At 56.3% G+C, this 19,747-nt stretch overlaps 1 protein-coding gene and 1 long non-coding RNA gene across 2 annotated transcripts in view, besides 4 other annotated features; one reads left to right on the forward strand and one right to left on the reverse strand.

Moving 5' to 3' along the window:
- Window positions 1,085-1,961: an enhancer, noted in NCBI's record as "H3K4me1 hESC enhancer chr11:119493452-119494328 (GRCh37/hg19 assembly coordinates)". NCBI's record gives its function as "activates a minimal SCP1, AML or CMV promoter by ChIP-STARR-seq in primed H9 embryonic stem cells {active_cell/tissue: H9 hESC(primed)}" and the evidence as "EXISTENCE:reporter gene assay evidence [ECO:0000049][PMID:30033119]".
- Window positions 1,962-2,836: an enhancer, noted in NCBI's record as "H3K4me1 hESC enhancer chr11:119494329-119495203 (GRCh37/hg19 assembly coordinates)". NCBI's record gives its function as "activates a minimal SCP1, AML or CMV promoter by ChIP-STARR-seq in naive and primed H9 embryonic stem cells {active_cell/tissue: H9 hESC(naive and primed)}" and the evidence as "EXISTENCE:reporter gene assay evidence [ECO:0000049][PMID:30033119]".
- Window positions 6,341-7,216: an enhancer, noted in NCBI's record as "H3K4me1 hESC enhancer chr11:119498707-119499582 (GRCh37/hg19 assembly coordinates)". NCBI's record gives its function as "activates a minimal SCP1, AML or CMV promoter by ChIP-STARR-seq in primed H9 embryonic stem cells {active_cell/tissue: H9 hESC(primed)}" and the evidence as "EXISTENCE:reporter gene assay evidence [ECO:0000049][PMID:30033119]".
- Window positions 9,722-17,962, forward strand: LOC105369520 (uncharacterized). Its single transcript, XR_001748413.1, has 4 exons — window positions 9,722-9,781; window positions 15,270-15,373; window positions 15,619-15,722; window positions 17,841-17,962. It is a non-coding gene; the product is annotated as an uncharacterized LOC105369520 (long non-coding RNA).
- Window positions 15,570-16,071: an enhancer, noted in NCBI's record as "H3K4me1 hESC enhancer chr11:119507935-119508436 (GRCh37/hg19 assembly coordinates)". NCBI's record gives its function as "activates a minimal SCP1, AML or CMV promoter by ChIP-STARR-seq in naive H9 embryonic stem cells {active_cell/tissue: H9 hESC(naive)}" and the evidence as "EXISTENCE:reporter gene assay evidence [ECO:0000049][PMID:30033119]".
- The window catches only part of NECTIN1 (nectin cell adhesion molecule 1), a 91,103-nt gene continuing 87,798 nt past the window's right edge, over window positions 16,443-19,747 (reverse strand). The window contains exons 6-8 of the mRNA NM_203285.2: window positions 18,210-18,357; window positions 17,076-17,151; window positions 16,443-16,592 (exon numbers count right to left, since the gene is read on the reverse strand). Coding sequence (NP_976030.1) covers window positions 16,443-16,592; window positions 17,076-17,151; window positions 18,210-18,357 — 374 coding nt within the window. The remainder of the gene's footprint in view (window positions 16,593-17,075; window positions 17,152-18,209; window positions 18,358-19,747) is intronic.

A 19,747-nucleotide genomic window follows, 5' to 3' on the forward strand; every position in this document is an offset into this window, starting at 1 on the left:
TGCTGAAAGCAGGATTTAGTGACTATGATACACTGACCCATTCTTCCTTATAAAAAATGGAACCACCGTCAGCAGAACTATGCTGGGTCTGCCTTGCCAGGGCTGTGACCTTCTCTGTACAAGTCTGTTTGCATGTGGGCAGGGACGGTGAGTTTGTGGCCTTTTCTACGCGTTTCATATCTGGACCCATAGTTCAGTTTTGGGGGTTAGGACTGAGCTCTGGTTGGCACTGGCTAGGGCTAGACGCTGGGAAGATGGCTGGAAATATTGATGACAGATAAGCCTTTTTTGTCCAAGGCCAGACAGGTTATATCAGCCCAGACTGAGAGCCTTCTGAGTCCCCTCCCCTCCCCTCCACTTACTTCTATTACCCCGGCCTTGCCCTGGGCCTTCCTCCTTCAGAGCTTTCTGGCTCTCTGTTAGGGTAGGGCTCCATCTCCCATTGATCCTGAAAATAGATCTTGAGGGGACTCTTGAGAAGAGAAGTGTGTATGGGAGGAGTGGAGGCCCCCAAATCCTCCTCAGCCTCTGGGGGCCCAGATGAAACTCAGAATGGGGGACAAGATACTTTTTTTTTCTTTTTTGAGACGGAGTCTCGCCCTGTTGCCCAGGCTGGAGTGCAATGGTGCAATCTTGGCTCACTGCAACCTCCACCTCCCGGGTTTGAGCAATTCTTATGGCTCGGCCTCCTGAGTAGCTGGGACTACAGGTGCGTGCCACCACGCCCAGCTAATTTTTGTATTTTTAGTGGAGATTGGGTTTCGCCGCATTGCCCAGGTTGGTCTCGAACTCCTGACCTCAGGTGATCCATCTGCCTCAGCCTCCCAAAGTGCTGGGATTATAGGCGGGAGCCACCGTGTCTGGCCTGACAGGAGATTTATTCTACCTGGGACTGAAATTTTCCTGAGCTGTCCTGAGGGTGCCGGCTCCTGTCCCCACCATTGGAGATCCGGTCTCTTCCCTGCATCTTTTGTTGGCACAAGAGAGAGGGGATGGCTGGACTCCCAGTGCTCTGGCCACTCCCTCCCAGCTCACACGGGGGCTGCTAGCCTGCGAGCAGGGGTGAGGTAGTGAGGGCAATGGTGGCCTTATAGGACTGTAGGATGCACTGGGCTCACTCTGGAGATGCACCTGTGCCAGGCCTGAGGGTTTGGAAGATGGGAATCTCTCTCTATGGCTTCCTGGGTTTGCTCTCCCCCAGCTGGAGGAGAGTCAGGCTAGAACAGCACTGGCCTGGAAGCTTCGTAACCCCCAGCAGGAGGAGCCCCCTCACAATCCAGGAGCCTCCAAGCCTCCTGGACTTCCTCGGCCCTGATGGTCGGCGAAGGGACTCGGCCCAGCGGAGACGTCCGAAGCTCTGAGTGCCCAGAAGAGGTTACGTTCTGGTCTGAGTTCCTTGGCCCCTTTAGATAATCTGCCTCTAAAGGCATGATCCTGAGATAATAGGGCGTAGGAAGACGGATGTTGGTTTAGAGTTTGGAGGTGATTTGGGGGTGGCTGGAAGGGGGGGGGAGCTGCCTCTTGGGTTCTACTGCCTCTTGCTAATGGCTCAGCTTCCCAGCAGGAGAGGAAGGGCAGGAGGCTCAGGCCTGGCAGCCTAGGCTGGTGCTGAGCCTGGGAGATGGAGGAGGAGTCTGGTAGCCTCTGTGAGAGGATGAGAGTGTGTGGCAGTGGCGGGGTGCCCACCTATGCACCCTCAGGCACACCTGTCCTTTCCCATTCAGAATTCATGTTCACCCGCGGGAGTCACGCTCAGGTGTTCACCCCACAGGTTTATCCCCGTGATCGGGGTGGAGGGAGGTGGAGCCTGGGGGCTCTGGAGGTCTGGGAGGAGGGAACCGAGATATAGGATGGGGCTTCTGTCCCAGGCTGGCCTGGAGGCAGCAGGTAAGGGCAGGGTGTGTGTGTGAGAGGGACAGTCTTGTCCACAAGTGCCCTTACAGGAAGGAGCAGAGCCCAGGGAGGCCAGTGAAAAGAGGCTGGAGGAAATGGTCCTGGGGTGGCAGGTGGGCAGCTGGCCCCAGGTCGTGGTCTTCCCAGATGTCAGGGTAGCTCTGGAGGTCCTGGGGGTGGCTGTTCTCACCCTGGAGTTCTAGGGAAAGAGAGAGGAAGAGGGGAGAGTGGGGAAGACAGCTGGGGATTATGGTTGCCCACCACCCGCCAGGCCTGCAAGCAGCGCATCCTGAAATCCCCTCACCCTGTCCATCCCCCCCTCCCAGTGGGCCCAGGAAGCTCCACCCCTTTGCCCAAGGTCATACACAAGTAAGTGGCATAGCAGGGTTTGAAATCAGGTCTGCCTAACTCTAAAGCCCGTGACTGATCCCTCCCCTGCACCAGGAGCCGGGGACAGAGGAAGGCAGGGAGGGAAAAGAAGGGCACTCTGTCTGGGCAGGGTGTGGGTGGCATGGGGTGGTGTGTTCACTTGGGGTCCTGTACTGACCTCCACTTGGCTTCCCACCACCCTAGGCCCTGGAGGGGATGTCTTGGGTCCTGGTCACTCCATCCTGTCACCCACGCTGGACCTGAAGTCCCAGGCAGCTTCCCTGGGGGAGCTTAGCTTGGAGAGGGGCTCCCAGCCCTGCGTATGGCATGGGGGCACGTTTCCCAGGCTGTCCAGCAGGGGGAGCCCCACCCCCCCACCCCCCGCCTCGGTTATCCCGGGTCCGACAGGACAGGAGGGCCCAGGCAGCCGGCCTCTGCTCTGCCCTCTAAACACAGCTGGGGCCAGGGCTCCAAGGCCTAAGGACTGGACAAGAGTGGCTGGCTCTGGGGAAGGCCTCTGGCCCTGTCTGACCCTGGCCTGCCTGGCCTCCCATGAGGTTGACAGAAGACTGTGGCCACCAGGCTCCCAAGCCCCCTCCATGGGTGAGCCTGGGCCCTCCTGCCTCCTCATCAAAGGCCTGGGAGGGTGCTCAGGCTTCCAGGGCTCCCCGGCTGCACACCCAGACTCAGGAGCCTACTGGGCGCTGCGGCACCTCTCTTCTCAGGGTGTGCTCCCACTCCACTCGCTCAGCTGAGGACACTGTCCTGGGCTGGGGAATTCAGGAGCAAGGAATTGCTCTTGCCCACCCAATATGTTCCACTGCTGCAGGTGTCTGCAGAGGAGAAGGGCAGAGACCAGACATTCGGGTGATGCCTCTATCTGCGCTGTGCAGTATGGCAGCCTGTAGCCATGTTTAAATGAAATGAAAATTAAAGAACATTAGCATTAACATAACGACAACACCGGTTACTCGGTGGCACTGGCTGCATTTCCAGTGTTCCATAGGCTCCTGTGGCTAGTGGCTATGTATGGGGAGCACAGAGGTGGAACATTCCATCAGGCTGTTCTCCTGGATGACACTGGTTCAGCCCCTAAGCTGGGGGAGGGGGAGGCCCTGGTGTGGGGGGTTGGGGTCAAGGAGCTGGAAGCTGGGTGGGAGCCAGTGTATGTGTGGGGTGCTACCATGGGGTGCCCTGGGACGGGAGGAGGGAGGGGCATCAGAGGAAGAGGGCAGACATCCAAGGAGCCCAGGAAGGGCCTGGGGACATGAGCGGGGGTGCAGGTTGGAGCCTTGTCTGCGTATCTTAGCTCTGAGCTTCCATGTGCCCATTTACAACCTCGGAGGACTGTCACAGTCAGGTGGCGGGGCAGAGAGAGCCCGAGAGAGGCTTAGGTCCGCTTTGTCACGCTGCCTCTGCTTGCTGTGACTTGGGCAGGCTCCTTCCCCTCCCGAGTCTCAGTCCCTTGCTCGGTGACACAGGACCCACAAGGTCTGTGTCCCAGGGCTGCGTGGGGCCCAGGGAGACACAGGGTGTGTTCCGCCTGTGGGAAGCGGGGCAGACTGGAGATCGGCACCTCCTCGTCTCCTGCTGTCCTGAGGGAGCTCAGAGATCTTTGAGTTCTAGCTCCTTGGTTTTTTAAAATTACCATGTAGACAGTCTGCTTCCTAAGGAGGATTTGAGGCAGCTAACCCCTTATTTTACAAATGAGAAAACAAGCTTTGGGAGGTTTAGGGACTTACTCAAGTCACGTCGTCTCTGAAGTTCCCTGATGTTCAGAGCCAAGAAAAGTTTCATAAATGCAGCCTCGGCCTCTCAGCCCCACCTCCCACCCCATCCAGACGCCTTTATTCCCTTAAGGGATGTGGGGCTGGGCTGAGCTCGAGGAGGAGGACTGGGGCCAGAGATTGAGGGTGAGGCGGTGGCCTGGGCAGAGGAATCCAGTATGGGGAGAGAGCCCAGTGCCTGGCAGGGGAGGGTAATGGGGATAATGGGGACTTTGAAGTGGCCACTACATCCTGCAAAGCCCAGGCCTAGAGAATGGGGTTTATGTGGAGCCTCTGTGTGGAGAGGGGCCCCGACTGGGGATGTCAGGGTCCCCCTGCCCTTCAGGGCAGCAGCAAGCCTTCCTCCCAGCACCTCTGCTCTCATCTCCACATGCGCTCATGCAGAGGGCTTTGTAACGGCAGTAGTGTTAACAGCAGCAATTCATTGAGCACCTGCTATAAAACAGGCGGATCACTAGATATTTTACCTGCTTTCTCTCCTTTAATTCACTCAGCAACACAATCAACTCCATAATAGCCCTATTTAAAACCTAATGTAACTGTGAGTCAGAGAGGGTCAATGACTTGCCCAAGGTCACACAGCCTAAAAGGGGCTGGCTGTGTCAGCTTTCCAGCTGGTTCCCTGAATCACACATGCCAGGAGCTTTCCCCCGGGCACAGTGGTCTGTCCAGCACCGGGTGCTGGCTGATGATGTGCTTCCCAGGGGGCTGGAATGCAGGACTCTGGCCTGTCAGGGAGAGTTACAGTCTGATGGGAGGGGGCTGCTCCTGGCAGAGCCCGGTCTTTGATGGGGGAGCCCAGCTTTGATCTCCTTTTGAAGTCCCGGCCTCTGGAACCAGCAGCTTCAGTGGGGAGAGTGCAGGGGAAGGGGGAGATGAAAGGGCAGGGGAAGCCAGATTTGGAGAGAGAGGGGGGCAGCCACAAGGAGGGAAACAGATGTGTGCATGAGGACCCGGGAGACAGGGATCTGGGAGAGGGAGTGGGAGCGGCTGGTGGGAAGAACTGAGGGAAAGGAAATGCTGTGGGCAGACAGGGAAGGCCAGGAGGGGGAAGGGCTGAGTGTGCCACTGCGGGGCAGGGGAGACATGAGAGACAGGCTGGGCCCAGCAGCTCCTCACCCACCATCCCCAGCTTCAAATCCCCTTTCTGTTCCCAGGGAGGCCCTTCTGGCTCTGCCATGGGCTGACTCTCAGTGTCCAATGGTCCAGAAGTTCCAGTGAGGTCCTGGCTGAGGCCTTATCCAATGGCCTGGGGATGGGGCCAGGGGGAGGTGAGGAGCTCACATCCAGGACTTTTCTGGGATCTATCACCCAGGCTTGCACCCCAGGCGAGGGGGCTGGTATGACGGATGGGGGAGGGTGTCTGCCGCATGGCGGTGCACCTGTTCCTATCTGACATCCTGGTTCCTCCTGTGGGGCTGCCAAGCAGGGAAGTGAGAGTGCGTGGTGGGGCGGGCTGCCTGGCAGGAAGGGCTAATTCCCAGCTAATCCCCCAAGCCTACCCCACCCAGTGCCTTGCACTGCTCTCCCATCCCCCACACTCTCAGGTCCCCTTCAGCTCCCCGCAACGCCTCCCCTGTCCTGGCACCCTGTTCCAGTGCCCTTCAGACCCTGCACCCAAACAGAGGGCCTCTCTGGGGTTCAGGGCAGCAAGTGAAAGCCAATGAGGGGGCAGCAGTAGACCCCTCCTTTTTTGAGTTTCCTTCAGGGGCACCTGGGATTACACCCACTCCAACTCCACGTACTTCAGAGAGGCTGGGAGGAGGTCCAAATTAGGGTTTATGGGATTAATGACTTTTCTTCTGGCCCCCCAGACTCTCTCCCCAACTCCAAGCCTCACGCTTTCCTCCCGTTGGCCTCTCCCGGGACCCAGACCTTACAAGGAGCTGCAGTAGCCAAGCATGCCTCCTTTCACAGGGGCTGGGGAGGGGAGGAACCGCATCTGGCACCCGGCCCCTTCCTCATGCCCACAGCACCCCTTCTTTGGCGAGGGAGAGGACAGGCTGGAGCAGGGACACATCCTGGTTCTCACACCAGGTTCTCCAAGGATGCTGCACAGACAGCCTCGGGCCCCTTGCTCTTCACTCCTCCATACCTAAGCGGGGAACTGAGGCTAAGCACATTTCTGTTGAGGTGGCAGAGGATGGCGTGTCACAGGAGGACAGGAGGTGGTTGAGATGTAGTAGGGGTGGGGAACACTGGAAAGTGGGGAGCAGATTTCTGTTGTTTGTGGGTCCTGGGACCCAGCGGGCTCTCCTGGTGGGTGGGAAAGGTTCTGTAGGGGCCACCAGAGAAGCCCCTCCTGGGCCCATCCCCCTGTGCCAGCCGTCTCGGGACCTGCTGGCTCCTGGACCCATGGGACCCCTCTTATACTCAGCGCCATCATGTCCCTCCCAGCAGTCCTGTCTCCTCCACCTGTCCTTGTCTCTGTCCCCGTCTCTCTCCCCTCCCACCCTGCTCATCCCAAACCACTCAGCACAAGGGCCGAGGCCAGGCTTCCTCACCGTATGTGGCCCCTTGGCCTGAGTCCCCAGCGCTCAAATTCCAGTTTCTCAGTCTGAGACACCTTCACCTTCCTTTGGCTCTCAGGGAGGTCACCTGTTTGCTGAAACTCCTCTGATCTTACCACGTCCCGCAGACACTGCCTGGGGTCTTTGCACTGTGGCCTCTGTGTACCTCGCAGTATCTTCCAGGGCCCACGGTAGAGACAGCCCTGCTCACCACCCATCCCTGCAGAGCCTGTGGGCTCCCCTTCAGCCCAGGACTTAGAAGTCCCGAGCTGGCCACTCTACTGAGAGTGCCTCAAGGCTAGGAACTCCCCTGGACCCTGGGCCCTCTGGGCAGGGCCTGGAATGAGCAGGCACTCAATAAAGGTTGGTTGAATTCAACTGTCCAGCTGGCCCGGGGGGTCAAGAGGAAATGTGGGTGTGCAGCCTTGACCCTGGGGGCTCCTTGGTAAGAAAATGAAGTGGAGGCCAGCGTGGTGGCTCACACCTATAATCCCAACACATTGGGAGGCCAAAGCGGGTGGATCACCTGAGTTCAGGAGTTTGACACCAGCCTAAGGGGCCGGCTGGGATGCAGGGAGTGAGGCCACTTCTGGGGCCCACAGAGGGATAAGGAGGACTGTTGGAACAGGAAGGGGCCCTAGACTTGATTTAGGTTTCACCGGTGGGAAAACTGAGGCTCAGAGAGGGGAAACAGTGTATGGCAGAAATGGAACAACATTCCTGCCCTCTGGCTCCTGGTCCACATTTCTTCTCCTGTTCTCACCAGGCCCCTGCCCACCTCCCCCACCCTTTCATTGCCAAGCCCAGCAGGTAGGGTGCAGGCCCTTCCAGGAAGGGCAAGAAGGGGCTCTCAGAGCAGGAGGGAGGTGGGTGGGTTTACCTGTGGTCCAGAAGCAGGGGTGGGTGGCTAGGGGTTATGAGCTAGGGTGGGCTCAACTGGATGGTGGCATATTCCACAGCCTCTGCAGGCCCTGGCACGGGGGTCCGCAGCCCTGGCACGAGTTCCAGGGCAGAGGTGTCCAGCTCTGCATAGTGGCTGTGAGTGTCCTTTAGGCCAGAGCCCTAGGAATGAGGCAGAAGGGACAGGTGGCAGGAGGGGTCGGTGGGGGTGTGGTCAGGACCAGACGAGGCACCCCAGGGCCAGGCGTCGGGGGAGATGGGAGGTGTGGGTGTGCAGGGAAGCATATGAGAGAGAAGGGAACCATGGAGTGGTCAGGCGGATGGGGGGAGAGAGAGACGCAGAACACCAATTACTCAGTGACAACAGAGGAAACAGGTTTAGAAAAGGTGTTTACAAAAATTAGTCACAAAACATTTACCTGCTGTGCTAAGCTGTGTCCTCTTAGGCCATGGGCATGGGTGGACAGAGGCAGGGTGGGTCCTACTCCTGAACCCCCTGTATTTGCCTCCGAGACGTTATTTGTGCTAACCCTTTCATTTTGCAGAGGGAAGAGAGATGCCTGGAGAGGGGACATGCTGTGCAGGGGGGCATGGGGAGGCTCCTGGGGCATAAAACAGAACTTGGAGTCAAAGGGCCTGGCTTTAAAGTTTTGCCGGACCCCCCTGCTGTGGCTTGACAGGCAGATGGCTCAACCCATCTGAGCTGAGTTTTTCTTTTGTGAAATGGGAAAATAGAACTTATAAGCATATCACTATGGTTAGAACCCAGGGCTCCAACTCCCACCTCTAGCTATTCAGCGGCACTGCAGTTCTTTGACTCTTAGTGTGATTTGCAAATTATTAGAATAAGAGTGCTCCAAGGACAGGGGCTGACATGAAGTTGAGTAGCAGAGGCTCTCCCTCCCTCTGCTGGGAGTTGCAGATGTGCGAATGGGGACCCAGGAGACAGGGAGCTGGGAGAGGGAATGGGAGTGGCTGGTGGGAAGAACTGGGGTAGAGAAAATGCTGTGGTCCAGAAGCAAGGGTGGGTAGCTACTGACAACTCACCCTGTGGCTGTGCCAAGCTCCTTTCCCTCCCAGGGCCTCAGTTTCCCCTTCAGCAAAATAGGAGGGTGGCTTGATGATCCCTGAGGTCCTTCCAGCTCTTCTCTCTAGATCTATCCTCACAAGCTCCTCCTCCTCAGCTCAATGCTCAGTGCCAGTGTGCAGGCAGATAGATCATCTGTCCACAGAGCAGGGGCTGAGGGAGAGGAGGGCTCCCGCACGCCGGGAGGGCAGGGGCTGGTACAGGAAGAAGGCTGTGTGCTATTGCAGGGAGCTCTGTGACCTGGGCTGCTGCTCACTCTTTTCCTTGGCTGGGCCGCCTGGGCAGCAGGGAAAGCTAGGTGTGCTGATTTCAGTTGCCCTCCATCAACGCCCATCTCGTGTCCATCAATGACACATGGCATGGGCAGGGACACATGGCAGAGCTAAGATGAATGCAATGAGCTCCTGATTCCTCACAAGGGAAAGTCACACTCTGACACCTGCTCCTCCCTTTGGCCCTGTGCTTCCACAGCCTGCCTGGAGTTGGAGGTGGGGTCAGGGGCTGGGAGGAGACACCTCTTTTCCAGAAGGAAGCAGCCTGGGTTGGAGGTTGGGGGTACAGGAGACCAGGGGCAGAAGGAAGGGGAAGGAGGCTAGACAGACAGGAAGTCTGGGTCCCAACCCACAAGTTGGGGGGACCTATAAGTGTGGCTGAGGGGCGGGGAGGTGGGGTCTGGGCAAGCAGCACAGTGTGAGTAGGAGATGCTGGGAGCAAAAGTGTTTTTTTCTTTTCTTTTTTTTTTTTTTGACGGAGTTTTGCTCTTGTTGCCCAGGCTGGAGTACAATGGCATGATCTTGGCTCACCACAGTCTCTGCCTCCTGGGTTCAAGCGATTCTCGTGCCTTAGCCTCCTGAGTAACTGGGATTACAGGCGTGTGCCACCACATCTGGCTAATTTTGTATTTTTAGTAGAGACGGGGTTTCTCCGTGTTGGTCAGGCTGGTCTCGAACTTCTGACCTCAAGTGATCCGCCCGCCTCAGCCTCCCAAAGTGCTGGGATTACAGGCATGAGCCACTGCACCTGGCCACAAAAGTTCTTATCCCCAGGAGCTGCCGAGACTTTGGCTTCGCTGGAGGAAGTCCCATAAAGATGGGAAGAGTGGCTGCTGCTCTGGGATGGTGTGAAGGCCATCCTGCAGAGGCAGAGGGGTACATTGGTGGTGTCCCCATGACTAAATGGATCCTACCTCTTGTCCCTCCCATCATCCTGAGGATGCCTGGGGACTGGTTCTTCAGGTAAATGCGAGGCCAGGTGTGTCCTGGGGTTGTGCAGACTCTATAGATTTCCACTGGGGAGGTCTTCCAGACAGCTTCTTTATGCAGACCTTCCCTAGCTGTGTGCCACTGGACAGGAGCAACCTGACTCTGAGCCCCAGGGAAGCCTGGGAGTTTAGAGGGTGATGGCCAAAGGTCGTTTGGGAATATCTCACCCAGGTAAGTGGAGAGGAGCTCAACTACATGGTTTGGGACCACCTTATCCAGGATGTGGGGCTGCCCAGGGAGCACTGGGCACTTTGCCTTTAGCCTTCGTAGAATCTGTCTCAAAGATGACAGAAAGCAATGACATGTGACTCCTGCTGGGTGATACCAGGAGGGTCCCAAGAAAACAGGTGGCGAAAGGTAAAATAGAGAATTGGGCCAGCACCTGCTGGCAAGGAAGACCTCACCCAAAGTGGAAGGCAGGCCCTGGAGAGTTCCTGGCACAAAGTGGTAGCCCAGTTGCCAAATCTTTCATCAGCAGGGACCTGGGAGAACATCGTGGTGGAGGGGAGTTTCAGGTCCAGTGCTTCACGCATTTGAAAGATGTGCAGGGAACAGGGCTGCAAGGGCAGCAGAGCTGGCTGGTTATTGTTAAGTCATGTTGGAGAAGGAGAAACTGAGGGCCATCAGCAGTTAGAGGCTCAACCTCAGAGCTGGAGACCCTCTTTGGTTGCTTCCAAAGAGACCCATATCCTACCGTGGAGGAGTGGACACAGCTGAGGAACAGACCCAGGATGTGAGAGTAGGAATCAGAGGGCTCCAGGGCAGCTCAGCCAAGGCAGGCCTGTTGTGCTTGGTAAGGGCCCTGCTGGGGAAAACCTGGGTCTCTGAAACCGATGGGAGGATGAGTGAGTGGAGAACCTTGAGTGGGTGGCCCACTCTTCTCTAGTTAAAGAGCTAACAGCACCGCATGCTGGAAGATGCTGTGGAGGCCTTTCCCCTGCGAGGCAACGGATGCCCCCTCCTCTGTTCCTGGCTGTAGGCTGATGCTGGGGTTAAAGCCCAGCACAACCCAGCTGGGTCCATGCTGGACCTGATCAAGAAGGAAGATGACAGGCCTGCAGAGCCAGGAGAGCAACAGCAAGCTAGCGTTGACCAGCAGAAGTCTGGGGAGCACCCCTGGGTTGGATTTTGAGGGTTCTTGACCAAGTGAGCCAGAATATAGACTGAATAAACAAGAATTCATTGATTTGGGAGCGCACTTTCTCAGGACATGGGATTCAACACCCTTCAAGGACCCCAAAGGATTGGGCAAATTTACTGCTGAGGCATGGTGTTTGCACAGTGCACAAGTGCAGAATTGGGATTGACATACTAAACCCACATGAGGTCTGTGGGGGTGAAGGCCAACTGGAAACTCTGAAACTACCTCATCACCCAAGAGAGTAAATCAAAAAGGATATTGTACTCAGGACGGGGAAGATGGCAGAGATCATTGTCATCACTAAAGACCTAAAGGATGCAAGGGTGCAGGGCCCTCTCTAATCTTCATTTAACTAATCAGTCTGACCCCTACAGAAACCAGACAGATCCTGGAGAATTACGGCCAATGCTATGGTCTTAATGTTGGTATTCCCCCAAATTCATATTCTGAAATCCTAACCTCCGAGGGGATGACATTAGGAAGTGAGGCCTTTGGGAGGTGAATGGGATTAGTGCCCTTATAAAAGAGGCCCAGAGGGCTTCTATCCTCTTCCACCGTTTGAGAACGCAAAGTGAAGTCACCATCTGTGAACCAGAAAGTATTGCCCTCACTAGACACTGAATAGCTTGATGCTTTGGACTTCCCAGCCTCCAGAACTGTGAGAAACACGTTTCCATTGTTTATAAGCCACCCGGTTCATGGTATGTTTTTATAGCAGCCTGAATGGGAAAAGACAGCTAGCATAGCCTCAATCAAGTGGTCACCCCGATGGCAGCTGCTGGAATGGTCTTCTAAATGACAGCTGCAGTGCCAGTTTGGCGGCAATACTCCGAAAGGCCTCTATAGGATGCTATGTCCCCACTAGGAAGAGTACATGGGCCTGGGAACCAAGGGATGAAAGCAGGAGTGGATTTTTAAAAAAAGTAAAAAGAAAAGGATAGGCCAGGCATGGTGGCTCACGCCTGTAATCCCAGCACTTTGGGAGGCCAAGGTGGGTGGGTCACTTGAGGTCAGGAGTTTGAGACCAGCCTGGCCAACACGGTGAAACCCCCTCTCTACTAAAAATACAAAAAAATTAGCCAGGTGTGGTGGCACGTGCCTATAGTTCCAGCTACTCAGGAGGCTGAGGCACGAGAGTCATTTGGACCTGGGAGGCAGAGGCTGTGGTGGGCCATGATTGCACCACTGCACTCCAGCCTGGGCAACAGAGTGAGACTCCATCTCAAAATAAAAACAAAAACAGAAAAATAAAAACAAAACCAACAACAAAATGAAAAAGAGAAAAACAAAGAAGAAAGCAGGAGTGGCTCACGGTTACCATCACACCCAGTGACCCAATGGGGGAATTTTGTGCTTTTATTCCCACAACTCTGAGCTCTGCGGGAGGGAGGGGCCCACAGACTATAAGCTAGGACTGCTGCCTGGGCCCTTGGACTGCATGTGTTTGGGGCCAGCAGGGAAGAAAAGGAGTTGGGTGGTGGCAGGGGTAACTGACCCATCAGCAGGAGGAGGCCAGGCTGCTTCTGTGCAATGGGGCTAGGGAGGAATGTGTGGAACCCACGCTTGGCCTACTTAGGGGCCTCTTCTCTTTTGAAGGAATGGACACTTCCAACAACCCTGGCCTGAGGAAGGTGTGCTCATCAAGGCCTCAGCGTCCTCAGGAATAAAACTTTTGTTCACACCAGGACCTGCTGTGGAGACAGCCGAGCGAGGGGAATTGAGAAGGGATATGGACAGGAGAGGATGGGTACCAGTGTGGCCCTAAGATCTGCTGCAGCAACAGGGGCCACATCCCCAGGAAGGAAGGCACACTGAATCGAAGAGGAGCTGCTCCCTGCCCCTGGATGGAAGAGCAGATCTCAGCACGCGGCAGACCGTGGCAGTGTGGACCCGGACAGCTGCGGAGCGTGGCTGGCTGCAGCCCCAGCTGCCACCCCGCTGGATCCACCCAGCATTTGTGCTGAGACCGCAATTCCCCTAGACCGCTCTCAGCCAACAACTAGACAGGCTGGGAATCCAGCGCAGGCCCTTTCCTGTGGGACGCAGGAGTCCTCTAATAGCAGCGATGGCCCAAGGATGGCACAGTGCTTGGCTACACTGCGCTGCCATCCTGAGACTTTCTTTTCAGCCCTCCTTCTTTCCCCATCCCCTTTCATGGGAGGTGGATCAGCATCCTGCTCTGAGGCTCTCCCTGCCACCTGCTGCTCCCTCGTGTGTCCTTCACAGGTGTCCCCCAGTGACTCTTGCATGTCTAATCTCAGCTTGGCATCTGCTCCTTGGAGTACCTGAACTTCAGACTCCATCCATCCAAAGGTCATTGGGTCCAGTTTTCTGCTTCTAGCCTGGGCTGTCCGTGCTCACAACACCGGGGAGATGGAAGCCCCTCTCCTTAGGACAGGGGATGTCTCCTCCTCCCTCCTTGTTGAGACATTGGCTTTGAGTCCTCTGGAAGTCCTTCCTCAGACCCAGTTTAGAGCCTCCCAGCTCTCTAAATGGTTCCTGCCACTTGAGCGGTCCCTAGTCCAGAAATCATGGCGGGTGTTGAGTGGAGTACCACGGCCTTAGTGAGCACCCTTGGGTGTGTGTGCATCATGGACCTGGCCCACACAGAGGGGCCTTGGCCCACCCGGTCTGGGGCCGCTGAGCTTGGCCCCCAGGCTCCCTGCAGCCTTCCCACCTCCCTTGAAGCCCCATGGTGAACAGCGCCTGCTCTCTGCCTGGCTCCTTCTCGTGACTTTTTGGGAAGGAGAATTGATAATATCAATGATGTGACTTGTAGACAAGCTGCATCGCCAACGAATCCGAGTTCTGGGGATAAATCCTTTTCTCGCCCGGTAATTGCTCTGTAAGCCAAAAGGAATTACACTTTTTGGCAACCACAACAGAGCCTCCCCAGGACGCCAGAGCTTCCCTTCCGCTGGTGACTTCCACACACCACCCCGCAGGCCGTTCACAAGCCTCTGTCCATCCAGACGCCCTAACCACGGCCCCTGGGCTCAGGACATAGGGTGTAGGTGCTCTCTTCGCCCCCTCAACCTGCCGCTCCTGCCCGTGGCTGGTGGGTGGAGGTGGGCTCACTGTGCTCTTTGTCCCAAGTGGCTCTTGAATGGATACAGTCATCAGGGGATTCCACCAACCCAACATAAGCAGAGCCCGGGGAGGGAAGGCGGTGAGGGACGAGGAAGAGTCAGGGCCATGAGCTAGGGTCTGGGCTTGGATGAGAGAGGAGGGGAGCGAAAGGATGAGTGTGCAGAGGGACGGGTGAAGGCAGTGGGCACTGTCCTGAAGCTGCTCCTTGTGCCCCCAGGGAGGGCTGGGCATGCCAGGTGTGGGGGCAGCAGTCAGAGAGCAAGACCGAGAAGCGTCAGTGGGGATTAGGGCCAGCTGCAGCTGTTCCATTCCGTCACAGAGATTTTTATGCCGAGCCTGGGCCCACTCTATGGGGGATCCCACTGGAGTTTCCATGATTTTCCAAATTGCTCCCTTCCATCATCTTCCTTCTCCCTCCAGCCCCAGGCCCCCATCGCTCCCTCTTTCTCCTCCCCTTCTTTCACCATGGCTCTGACAAGTGAGGTTAGTGACTCTTGACTGGAGGCTAAGGGAAAAGGCCCATTTGGAGAACGCCGAATGAGGCATGGCTTTCTCTTTCTGGAAATAGTGGTCTCCCCGCTCCCCTACCTCCCTTGCTTTCGGGCCTGGGATGATGTGCTCTCTCTCTCCTGAGGCAGGCGTGAGCTGGTGTCTGCAGGTGGGAGATTCTCGCCCTGCTTGGTGCTTAGAATGCCCTGGCCCCCGACGCAGGACTCTGAACCCAAGTTCTCTGGCCTGTGTGTTCACTGTCTGGGTCCCTGGAGCTGAGGGGCCACCAGGCAGCAGAGCTGGGCCCTCCTGCTGACAGTAATCCCGGGGCTGCAGCAGCCTTGGCATTAGCGGTACCAGGTGACCCTGAGGCTCTCAAGCCCTGCCCAGGCTTCCCTGTGTTCAGGTGAACTGCCCAGCATCTGCTCATCATGCTGGCTGCTGCCTGCTTAGGGCCTGGACTTGAGAGCCAGGGTCCCAGGGTGTGAAGCCTTCCCCAATGTCTCTGGGTGATCTTGGGCAAGACTTTTGTTATGGTTTGAATGTGTCCCCCCAAATTCGTGTGTTGGAAAGTTTATCTTCAGTGTAAGGGTGTGGGAGGTGGGGCCTAATGAGAGGTGATTAGGTCATAGATTAGGCCTTCACGGATGCATTGTCTCTATCAAGGGAGCAGGTTAGTTATGGAGGCAGTGGGCATGTTATGAAACTGAGTCTGGCCCCTTCCTGCTCTCTGACTCTCAGGGCATGCTTTCTCGCCTGCCGGCCTTCCACCATGGGATGAAGCAGCAAGAAGGCTCTTGCCAGAGGCAGACCCCTCGACCTTGGACTTCCCAGCCCCCAGAACTGTAAGAAATAAATCTCTCTTCTTTATATATTGCCCAGTCTCAGGTATTTTTTTATAGCATCACAAAACAGACTAAGACACTTCAAGTTCACTGAGCCTCCGTTTCCTTATCTATAAAATGGGGCAACGGAAGGACTTATCATATAGATTGTTGAACAATCCATGTGATAAGAACAATGTTTGAAAAGTGACTAGCCAGCAAGTGTTCCACACTGTCATTATGATCCCTTCTGTTGGAACCGGCAGGCCCATGCTGTGCAGACTGGGATGTGGGGGTGCACCTCAGATGAGAAGGAGAGTGGTACAGGAGCTACCCAGCTGCTGTTTGAGGAATGGATGTTGTGTCCACAGTGAGTTCTAGCTCATTTCCATGTCTCTAGGTTGGTTGAGGAATAGCACATAGCTGGTGGTCCTTTGTACCCTGGGTAGTATCAGAAGGTGGACGCTGGGCTGGCTCTCTGGGCTCAGTACCCTGGGAAGGGAATGCTACCTCCCTGGGGGCAGGATTTGGCACCTCCAGATGGGTTCATGTTGGTACTTCCTGCCAAGAGTGAGGATGGCTGTACCACGGAGACAAAGGCCTGGCTCTCCTGCCAGTGCCAGGAGAGTGTGTGTTATCTTTGGGTCCAGGCGGTCTGGCCTGGGTCTCTGGGCTGCACTGTATGGGTAACACCCCTTGCCCCCAAGTCTGCTGAAAGGAGCCAGATATGGGCAAAGGTGGCAGCCATTCAAGTGGATGCTGGCCCTCTGAGTGGCTGGGAGTGAGGCCAGGAAGAGGCAGCACCTCCCGCTGGCAGCCCCGTTGGCAGCACTGGGAACTAAGGTGCAGGGTACAGAGCTGGAGGTGGGGCTTGGGGGAGGGAGAGGTGGGCACCAAGCTGGGGGGCCAGACTCATTGGAAATGCCAGTCTTCCAGAATGGTCTGTCCAGCATCCAGTCACCCTTTGCCCAGGGTGCCTGCAGTGCTTGGGTGGGCCTCCCTGTGCCCCCCTGCCCTCACCTCCTCCACCTCATCTGTCTGGTTTCCCTCTAAGGCAGCTGGGCTCATGGCCAGGCTGGGTGGTCCTGGGCTAGGGGCACTCTCCTCGAGGTTCGGTTGTCCTTACCGAGGGGTGGTAGGAGGGGGAGACCCCCAGATCATAGTAGGGGGGCTGCAGGGACAGCTTCTGCAAGTCCTCCTCTTCTTGCTGCTGCTGCCTCCCTGGGTCCAGGTGGACAACCTGGAAGAGAAGGCGGTGAGTGCTGCACAGACCTTTCCATGCCCCTGCTCCAGGTGGCCCTCATGGACTCCCAGTTGGATTGGGACTCCTCAGTTCCCATGCACCCCCATTCTGGCATCCCCCACACTGGTGACTGTCTTGGAGGGCACAAGTGCACCCTGAGCCTTTAGCTTTGCTGGCTCTAGCAGGGACCCAGCTTGGGGCCAGGCACCTGAGAGGTGCTCAATGCATTTTTTAAATGAATGAAAGGACTGTGAGGTAGAGGAAGAGGTCCCCTGGGGGCCCTGGGTAGGGAGAGTCCTAGGTTGTCATCTCTTAGGGTGAGGCAGATGGATCCCTCTAGCATGGACCTGGCCTTGTGGGAACTGGACCATGAAGGCGTGGCGGCTCTGTCTTCAGCTTGGGCTCTCTCCTTGGGGCCATCTCCCATTTTTCTCCCTCCCCGCAGTCCAGGGACCTTGTCCTCTGCTGCCTCAGGCCCACCTGGATATCCTCAGGCACAAGGGAGCTTTGCCTGCTGGGAGAAGGCTCCGGCTTCTGGGAGAGGGGCTGGTCGGTCCTGGAGACAGAATGAGGGTAAGCTCAGCACAGGAGCACACATGGGGGCTCTCCCCATCAGGCCACCAGACAGCTACCGGTCCCTGAGCCCCACTCACAAGAGCAGGCCCGGGAGCTCTGCTTCCCAGGCAGCCTCCTGAGAGGCCAGAGCTTGGGCTGGGGCTCCTCAGGGGTCATGGGTTACAGGCTGAGAGTGCCCGGCCACCTTTCCCAGGTGTGTCTGCCCCGGACCCCAGCCCAGCTTGGGATGGGAACCATGTGAGTCTCAGGTTTCCTAGCTCAAAGGACAGGGAGGAACCAGCAGCAGCACTGTGGGCCCTCACCCAGGGCGGGCATGAGGCCTCAGGTGCACGGTATGCGGCACCGACAGCCTTAGCCAGCACGGGAAATAACACATGATGCAAGATTTTAAAGATGAAAATCAACGTAAAAATCCGTGATGAACAAAACGTCCACATTGTAAGTAAAGACAGGATCCATCACAGTGGTGTGCTGGGTGTCTGATGCGAAAGGAAAAGTCAGTTATTCTAATCCTGTCTTTATTTACAATGTGGACGTTTTGTTCATCATGGGTTTTTGCTTTCATTTTGATTTTTTTAAAATATCACATTAAAATATGATTTATCCTGATGGTTGAGGGTTTTGGCTCCCCCCATATACTTTGTGCCTCTCTCTCCTCTCTGGTCCTAGGTCTGCCCTCACCCCTTGTCAACGGCTGGGAGCACGTAAACTCTTGCAAATTATTTAACCTCTCTGTGCCTCAGTTTCCTCACTATAAATCGTGGATGGTAATCATGCACCTGCTCCTCTGAGCTGCTGTGAGGATAAAATGCATCTTTATGAAGCCCTTTTGAACTGGGGCGGTGCCTGGCACGTAGCAATCACCACTCAGGAGGGTCAGCTCTTCCTGCCAAAGGGTTAGTTCCTGGTCCCCCAGGGTGGGGAGGCCCTAGAAAGGCCCTGAGCTTTCACAAGTTTAGGTGCTTTAAGTCTGGGGCTCCCAGGGTGCTGGGGAGCAGACCAGTGGGAGTTTAGTGGGCAGAGTCCTGCCTGGCTCACCCGGCCCCATCCGTCTCCGGTGGGCTCTTCTGCTGCCGGTTGTACAGGAAGAAGACAGTGAGCACAGCAACTAGGATGAGGAACACGGCCACGGTGCCCGCCAGGAGCCTGGCTGCACTTCCCAGACCCCTCTGGGGGCGGGGCTTTTCTGGAAACAAAAGACAGGGAAGAGGATTAGAGAGAGAAACTCAAGTGACCCAAAGAGAGTCAGAGATGTGAGAGAGTCAGACCCTGAGGCAGTACTCTGCCTTTGACATTGCACCCCCAGCTCCCCTCCCCATGGTGCTCCAGTTCTAGGAGGGGCTCCCAGCCGGTGTGGGATGGAGGCTCCTCCTCTAGTTCCCTATGACCCTGTAACCCCACACCCTGCTCTGATCCTGGGATCTGGGGCATGGAGGTAGAACAAGGGTGAGGGTATCTCCTGGACAGGCAGCAGGTGCTGAGATGGGGTCCCCACCCCGTCATTCCATTTCTGGCCCTGCAGGGAAGATTCCTGTTGAGGAGTTTAACTTCTTTCCCCTCCCTGTGCAATTAAACAAGCAAATGAACTAATGGGTGCTTCACCCTCCCAGCTTGGGACAGAGGGTGAGGATCAGGAGGGAAAGGCAGGAGCTGGGAGGGTCGATGAAGAAGGGGCACCTGGGGGTGCCTCCCGGGAAACCAAGCCTCTTCAGTACAGATAGGTGAAAAGCCCAGAGGGCTGTGGTCTAAGGTGAGGGGGCTGAGCCCACCTTCTGGACCCACCTGGTCATGGACCCAGAAGATTGCTGGGCTTGTCGAGGTATTTCACAGTCTGAGCTGGAGACACTGGTCTGTCCCTGAAGCCCAGGAGGCTGCAGAGACTGACCCTGTGGCCAGGGGCACATGCTGCTTCTCAGCGATCCAGGCTTGGCTGTGAAGCCACAGCTGGCCCTTCCAGTTCCTCCTTCTGCTGGGCTCGATTTCTCACCTCTGACCTTTACGACCCCAGCGTGGAGTGGGGGGTAGGGACTAAGGAGAAAATCACACACTTATGTACTCCTTCCTCTCCACTACCATATTACATATAATTAAACACGGAGAGCACCTGAATAGAGATGCCAAATTGCAGTTTGCAGTAAACATCATGGAGCCAATTTTCCTAAAGTGGAATTGACAAGTCCCTTCCACTCACTCACTCACTTACTCACTCACTCCCTCCTCATTCACTCACTCACTTTCTGTCTCTCTCCCCTTCTCTCTGCTCCATTCCAGTGCCCGGAAGGAGGGGGTATCTTGCTCCCAGTAAATTTGCAACCCCTCTCTGGCCTGTCTGCAAAGGCTCTGGCCCCAGCATCCATCCATCCACAGCTGGTGGCTGTGGCCGCCTTTGGAAGGCAGTTTCCCGTGTTGTCCAGGCTGGTCTCAAACTCCTGAGCTCAAGTGATCCTCCCGCCTCAGCTTCCCAAAGTGCTAGGATTACAAGCATGAGCCACCGTGCCTAGCTCCAGAGTGATCGTTCTAAACTACAAATCAGATCAGGCCACCTCCCTACTTAAGTTCCTCCAAGAGTTCCTCCA

This window comes from Homo sapiens, chromosome 11, assembly GCF_000001405.40.
Source record: "Homo sapiens chromosome 11, GRCh38.p14 Primary Assembly".
Taxonomy (NCBI): domain Eukaryota; kingdom Metazoa; phylum Chordata; class Mammalia; order Primates; family Hominidae; genus Homo; species Homo sapiens.